The sequence below is a fragment of the Homo sapiens genome, chromosome 17, assembly GCF_000001405.40.
Source record: "Homo sapiens chromosome 17, GRCh38.p14 Primary Assembly".
Taxonomy (NCBI): domain Eukaryota; kingdom Metazoa; phylum Chordata; class Mammalia; order Primates; family Hominidae; genus Homo; species Homo sapiens.
Genome location: NC_000017.11, coordinates 13,018,031 through 13,025,801, shown reverse-complemented (window position 1 = coordinate 13,025,801; position 7,771 = coordinate 13,018,031). Strand labels below are relative to the sequence as shown.

General features: G+C 46.2%; 1 annotated feature.

The window, feature by feature from the left end:
* Positions 7,658–7,737: a silencer, noted in NCBI's record as "silent region_8207". NCBI's record gives its function as "represses an Ori minimal core promoter by ATAC-STARR-seq in GM12878 lymphoblastoid cells {active_cell/tissue: GM12878}" and the evidence as "EXISTENCE:reporter gene assay evidence [ECO:0000049][PMID:35858748]".

Genomic DNA, 7,771 nt, shown 5'->3' with positions numbered 1-7,771 from the left:
AGAGAAAAGGGAAGAGAGAGAAGAAAGAGGAAGAATGAGGGAGAAAGAAGAGAGGGGGAGGAAGGAAGGGAGACAGAGAAAGGAGAGAGGAGAGAGGGAGGGAATGAGGTTGAGGGAGAGAGGGGGCTGGAAAGAGAGGGAGAGGATGGGGGAAAGGAGAAGGAGGGAGAGATGCCTATTCCTTCCCTCTGCTACCTCCTTTCATCCTCATGGCAATCCTGGAGAGCAAGGTGCAGAGTGGCTAAGACATTTGCCCAAGGTTACCTGGCTACTCTGGGTCAGGTTCAGCACCCCAAAGTCCATGAACCCCTGACTGCACCACACCGTCTCCACAGAAGCCAGCCGCACCACCCTCACCCTTCTCCCTGGACAGCTCCTGACACCCCGGGTTATTACTGTCTCCACACGGGACACCTTGACACACCTAGGCTCACCTCCTGGGATACCTCCAGGGAGCACAGGATCCTGCACCAGCATTGCTCAAATGCAAGTAACATAAAGAACCCAATTAAATGAAAGACACACACGTACACACACTCACACACACACACACACATGCTCACACACACACAGACACATACATACACACACATACACATACAAACATATATACACATGTACACGCAATCACACACATGCACAACCAACACATACACACACACACATACACACACATACACAGACACACACACACAGACACACACAACACATACAGAAACACACACCCCACACACATACACACACACAGACACGCATATACACACAACACACACACACACACGCACACATACACACATAACACATACACACAGGCGCGCACACACACGTTGAGGCCCCTGAGAACGTATCTCTGAGCTCCAGTTTGAGTGAAGAATTAAACAGTAAACTCTGGTCCTTTTGGGATCATCTGGCACCATTAGCGCCATAACCAGGAATGCAAATGTGGACACCGACTCGAGGGGCATTCCTAGTTATTTAAGGGTCCTCCTCAGCCCTGCAGTGATTGTGTGCATGATTTTAGAATACCTTCAGTGGAAAGTGCTAAACTGAAGAATTCTAGAATTCTCAGATCCCTGAGAATAAATCAACAAACTCGCAGGGATCTGAGATCCCTCCTCCTGGCTCCGCCTTCCCCAGGGCCTGCGCTTCTGCGCCCTCTAGTGACCAAGGGCGCGCATCGCACTCCTCTAGGACCTGATTCTGCGCCCCCTCCTCTGACCCGGGAGAACTGGAGGCAGGGCTGCAGGATGAAAGGATAAAAGGAAACCTCCAAGGCCCTTCATGTTGTGACTTTCGCCGACTGCCAGCCTCCTCGCCGACCCTCCTTCATCCTACTTCATCCTGAATGTATCCTACAGTAATAGCAACTGTTTGAGGCGAAATAGTGGCTTGGGAGGAACGTGAACTCAGGAACTAAGCAGCTAGGGTGTGCATGCTAGTTGCATTACTTAATTTTGTAATCTTCTGCAAATTAAGCCCTTTCAGCTTCAGTTTCCCATCTGTACAATGAGAATAGTAATAGGCTACACCTCACAAGAGCGCTAGGAGGAGCAGGTGATCTGGACACGTGTGTGGAAAGTGTGCCTATGATGAAGTGAACCCTCAGTGAACTGCTGTGTATCCTATCGCTTCTTGGCACACTCCTACCTTTCCTGTCTCCATGCTGCCCGCTCTGGATAGAATACCCTTCCTCATCTTGCCATCCTGGAAATCTCTCAATTTTTTCAAAATCCTAATCGTGCCATATGTTCTGTGAGAAGCCTTCTCTGACACCATTCTTTTTTTTTTTTTTTTTTTTTTAGACGGAGTCTCGCTCTGTCGCTCAGGCTGGAGTGCAGTGGCGTGATCCCAGCTCACTGCAACCTCCACCTCCCGAGTTCAAGCAATTCTCCTGCCTCAGCCTCCCCAGTAGCTGGGATTACAGGCACCCGCCACCACGCCTAATTTTTGAATTTTTAGTAGAGACGGGGTTTCACCATGTTGGCCAGGCTGGTCAAAACTCACTTGTTGAAGCCGTAACCCCCAGTACCTCAGGATGTCACTACATTTGGAGATAGGGCCTTTAAGGAGGTGATTAATTAAACGAGGCTGTTAGGGTAGATCCTAATCCAAGCTCACCGGTGTCCCTATAAGAAGAGGAGATTAGGACACACGAGACACACCAGGGCATGTGAGCACACAGGAAAGACCACATTAAGGTACCGCAAGAGGAAGGCCATTTGCAAGCCAAGGAGAGAGGCCTCAGGAGAGACCAGCCCTGCCCACACTTTGATCTTAGACTTTCAACCTCCAGAACTGAGAAAATTGAAGTCTTGGGGAAGCCACTCAGTCTGTGGTATTTTGGGATGGCAACCTGGGGCGACTCGGGCTGGGCAGATGCTCCATGCCCTCAGCACAGACTCGCTGAGCTCCACGAATTCCCGGGCACCGTGCTTGGCCCTGAGGATCTAAAGGTAATAAAGCTTGGGTGGCATTAATTATGGCAGAGCTGCAACCGCTCCAAGCCTGAGCCAGGCTGAGCTACTTTCCTTTCTTCTTTCTTTCTGGTTCCCGGTGTACAGTTATGCATCATTTAATGGCAAGGATACGTTCTGGGAAATGCCTTGTTAGGGAAATTTGTCATTGCGCAAACATCACAGAGGGCACAAACACAAACCTACATGGTACAGCCTACTGCACACCTGTGCTGTATGGTACAACCTACTGCGCCTAGGCTACAAACCAGGCTGCATGTGACTGTACTAAATACTGCAGGCAATTGCAACACAATGGCAAGTATTTGTGTCTAAATCTATCTAAACATGGAAAAGACACAGTGAAAATGTGGTATAAAAAATCAGCACCTGACCTGGGCGCTGTGGCTCACACCTGTGATCCCAGCACTTTGGGAGGCTGAGGTGGGTGGATCTCTTGAGGTCGGGAGTTCAAGGCTAGCCTGACCAACACGGAGAAACCCCATCTCTACTAAAAATACAAAAAAAACAGCCGGGTGTGATGGTGCATGCCTGTAATCCCAGCTACTCGGGAGGCTGAGGCAGGTGAATTGCTTGAACCCAGGAGGTGGAGGTTGTGGTGAGCCGAGATCGTGCCATTGCACTCCAGCCTGGGCAACAAGAGTGAAACTCCATCTCAAAAAAGAAAGAAAGAAAGAGAGAGAGAGAGAGAGAGAGAGAGAGAGAGAGACAGAAAGAAAGAAAGAAAGAAAGAAAGAAAGAAAGAAAGAAAGAAAGAAAGAAAGAAAGAAAGAAAGAGAGAAAGAAAGAAATTAGCACCTGAATAAGGCACTTACCATGAATGGAACTTGCAGGATTGTAAGTTGCCTGGGGTGCATCAGTGAGTGAATGTGAAGGTCTAGGACATTGCTGTACGTGACTGCAGACTTTTTTTTTTTTTTTGAGACTGAGTCTCGCTCTGTTGCCCAGGCTGGAGTGCAATGGCACGATCTTGGCTCACTGCAACCTCCGCCTCCCGGGTTCAAGTGATTCTCCTGCCTTAGCCTCCTGAGCAGCTGGGGTTACGGGTGCCCACCACCACGCCTAGCTAATTTTTGTATTTTTAGTGGAGACGGGGTTTCGCCATGTTGGCCAGGCTGGTCTCAAACTCCTGACCTCAAGTCATCCACCCGCCTGGGCCTCCCAAAGTGCTGGGATTACAGTTGTGAGCCATCGTGCCCAGCCCAAAGTAACTTTTGTTTCAAAAACCAATTATCCCTCTGATGCATTGTGGCCATCAAGTTTGGAGTTGTTGGGTTTCTAGGGCTCTAAACCAGAAACACCTCAGACCCAATGAAGACAAAAGCATCTATTATAATGTTTTCCTGTGTGCCCTGGGGCCCCATCCCTGTGCCCAAGACACCAACTTTCTGAGCTTTCTGAGAGCAAGACCTTGTTCATCTTTCTGTACACCAAGGTCTTAGTACAGCATCTAGAACCCTAGAAGAGTGTCTAGAAACTCGTGTGTGTGTGTGTGTGAGTGTACTGAATGAATCAATGAATGAATGTCTGTGTGGAGAAAGCCAGAGGGTATTTCAGACAGGGTCCCAAAGTATGTGTCCCTTGGTCAGATCACCAGATCTTGGGGATCGCAGGAACTGCCCCAGCTTTGTAGGTACAAAAGTCTGATTTATAAATATACCCAAGAGATGGCCACATATGAGTGGACTAGCTTATGGCAACCATACTTACAAGCGTGTACAGAAGAAAGTCAAGTTATAAATTATACCTTTGTAACTACAGGCATATGAAAATGTACTGCTCCCAGCATTCATTGGCCAGATTATTCTGCCTGGCAGCCATCTCTTCATAGGACCCCCCCGTAGGATAATCAGAGGGTTCCAAGAAAGCCTGGACTTTTCCACGTCAAGGGCTCTTTTGCAATGTGACTTTGATACTTCTCCCCTCAAGAGGTAGAATATAATTTTCCTCCCTTTGAATCTAGGTGGGTGCTGTCTGTGTCTTGCGTTGACTTCTGGGCCTAATTCTTCAGAAGCATTGCAATTTCATTTCATCCTTTTGGAGGCTGACCACCATTCAGAGAAGCTCAGCCTAACTACTGAATGTGGACAGTCTACATGGATGGAGAGGCAATGGGAAATGAACCAAAGCACCCCCAGCAGGGCCAGTACCCAGGACCCACACCTGTGAGTGTGAGGTTCCACTCCCATTGAGCCACCCAGCAGCCACTGCAAGGAGCAGAGACAGGCTATTCTTACTAAACACAACCGTGACCAACAAAAGGACTGAAAGTGATTTCAAGCCACAAGCTGCCCATATACAAAATGGATAACAAAAAGAGACTCAAAGCAAGAGGAAGTGGCTGTATTATATTAATTGTTAATATCACTGACTTCTGAAAGTCTGTCGCCTCGATTTCCACTTTCTCTGCTGTCCCGATGGTCAGGCTGCCTCTACTCCAGCAAGTCCAGAGACACTTTTCTGTTTCAGACTCTCTGAACTATCCTTTTGGAGGTACCAGTCACACCAATCCCCTTCAGAAAACACATACATTGTTGTCTTGATTCAATTTTAGGCCCTGCTTAGTTGTAAACTGAAAACCTCATTTAAGCTACTGGCTTGCTTCTAATTTCCTAGTATTTATTGTCTGCCACAAGCCAGACTCTGTCCTAGGAGCTAATGATACAGCAGAGGACCAGATAGACAAATCCCAGGCTCATGAAATTTACATTCCAGTATAACCTCAGATTGAAGAAGTACTAGCTATTGTCTTCATATACCAGGAATAAAAATATGACCCAAAGCATAAGTGCAGAAAGTACACTGGGCCCTAGAAACAACCTAAATAGCATCCAGCCCTCAGAATTTTATATAAGTCGATGACCAAAAGTGATTCCTCCTATAATTTTGAGATAAGTAGTTTGAGATTACCCAACAGATAGATATGCACATAGGGCACCAATAAAATAGAGGAACCAATGTATTTTTGTTTGTGAAATTTGATATATTTTTTAAAAGGATCAAAGCAGTCATCACAGGAAAAAAATCAGTATTTTATTTATTGCACTACACTTTTTAAAAGTAGTTTTAATGAATTAATTTTCTTTTTCTTTTTTTTTTTTTTTTTTTTTTGTAGAGAGTGTCTCACTCTGTCAGCCAGGCTGGAGTAAAGTGGTATGATCATAGCTCACTGCAGCCTCAAACCCCTGGGTTCATGTGATCCTCCTGTCTCAGCCTTCAGAGTAGCTGGGACAACAGGTGTGTGCCACCATGTCCAGCTAATTTTTACTTATTTTTAAATTTTTTAGTATTTTTTGGTAGAGATGAGGTCTCGCTTTGTTGCCAGAGCTGGTTTGTTTGTTTGTTTTTGAGATGGAATCTCCCTCTGTCACCCAGGCTGGAGTGCAATGGTGTGATCTTGGCTCACTGCAACCTCTGTCTCTGGGGTTCAAGTGATTCTCCTGCCTCAACCTCCCCAGTAGCTGGGATTACAGGCCCATGCAACCACTCCCGGCTAATTTTTGTGTTTTTAGTAGAGACGGGGTTTCATCATGTTGGCCAGGCTGGTCTCGAACTCCTGACCTCAGGTGATCCACCTGCCTCGGCCTCCCAAAGTGCTGGGATTACAGGCATAAGCCACCATGCCTGGCCACAGAGCAGGTTTTGAACTACTAGCCTGAAGCTATTCTCCCGCCTTGGCCTCCCAAAGTGCTGGGATTACAGATATGTGCCACGGTGCCCAGGCTTTAAGCAACTTTTAAAAACTATCATTTTTATTTCAAATACTTATGGAGATGGTGGTATGATAATCTTTTCAGTTTGTAACGCCCTCTAACTGTGTAAAGTAGATCTGAAGTGTTTTCCTGACCCTCACTGGGATGGTTATTTCAAGTACAAAACGTTTTCACACCGTGGGTGATAATCTTCCATAAAAAATTTCATATTTGAATGAAAACAGCTCAAGAAATACACTAATGAGCAAAAATATATGGGGAAAGAGGAACGTGTAGTTTTGACTTAACTGAAGAAACCAAGAGGAAACTGGTCTCCATATGAAAATGTGATCCTGGAAAGTCAGGTGTCAAGATTTTCGAGTAGGAATCTACATGACTTGAATCTCCCTTACTTCCTGAATAAAAGTGACATCTTTCAGTATTTATTTAAAAAAATCATATGTCAGTGGAGCTTCCAGGTAAATTATCTTTAAAAAATCATATTTGAGTGGAGCTTCCAGGTAAATTATCTTCCTCTTTTAAGGGAGCTCCCTGTATTTCTAGCGGCTTTAACTGATATCCCTTTCAGTGAGAAATCCTCATTAGCTACATAAGAGGGGACTGGGTGTTTTTTTCAAAAAGCTGGTATTGGGACATCTACCTCTGTGATGTCCCTGGTCAGCTATATTGTCTAGGAGTTGAAACATTTTGTATTAATTTTCTATCATTTACTGGGTGCCTCTTCTGTGACAGTGCCACTCAAAGGTCTATTGATATATTATCAGGTGACTGAATTCTATATTCTGAAGTAGGAGATACTGTTATTGCTGTTATTACATTTTACACATAAGAAAGCTGAGGCTCTGAGAGGTCAAGATCACGCAGCTAACAAATGAGCCAAGACTCTTGCTTTAGAGCTTGTCCTCTATTCTTGCTTTTCTTTCCAAAAAACACTACAATTTTTGTTTTGTTTTGTTTTGTTTTGAGACAGGGTCTCGAGGTGTCACCCAGGCTGGAGTGCAGTGGCGCGATTTCGACTCACCGCAACCTCCGCCTCCGCGCTTAAGCGATTCTCCTGCCTCAGCCTCCCAAGTAGCTGGGACTACAAGCTCGGGACACCACGTAAAAATGATCAAGTTCTAACATGTATGCATACGAATTACAATGGAAATAAAATTAGCAAAGCGCTTATGCTAATGCTCAATACAATTGATTTCCTCACATTTAATCCTCACAACCACTACAACCACCTCTAACTCAAGCTCTGAGGGACTGACGTGCCCGGAGGACACAGCTCTTATCTGGTGAGAACAGGAGCGTTTTAGCGAAACTCCAAACTCCTAGGTCCCGCCTTCCCCAGGAAGGCTTTTCCTGGCACTGTGCTTCCGGAAGTCCCGCCCCAGGAGAAAAACAGCTTCCGGAAAAAATTGCGGCCGGCAAACCGGAACAGAACTAGGGGCGGGGCCGCTTGAGACGCTCTAGTATTCCTCTACTCTATGGCCACTGTCAATTGACAAGTCCCGAGCGGTAAAGCTCCTTTCTATTGGATGAGCAGCCTCGCGTAGGCGGGAAGCTCGGTGCACGGCGCGCTGATTGGCTGGATCC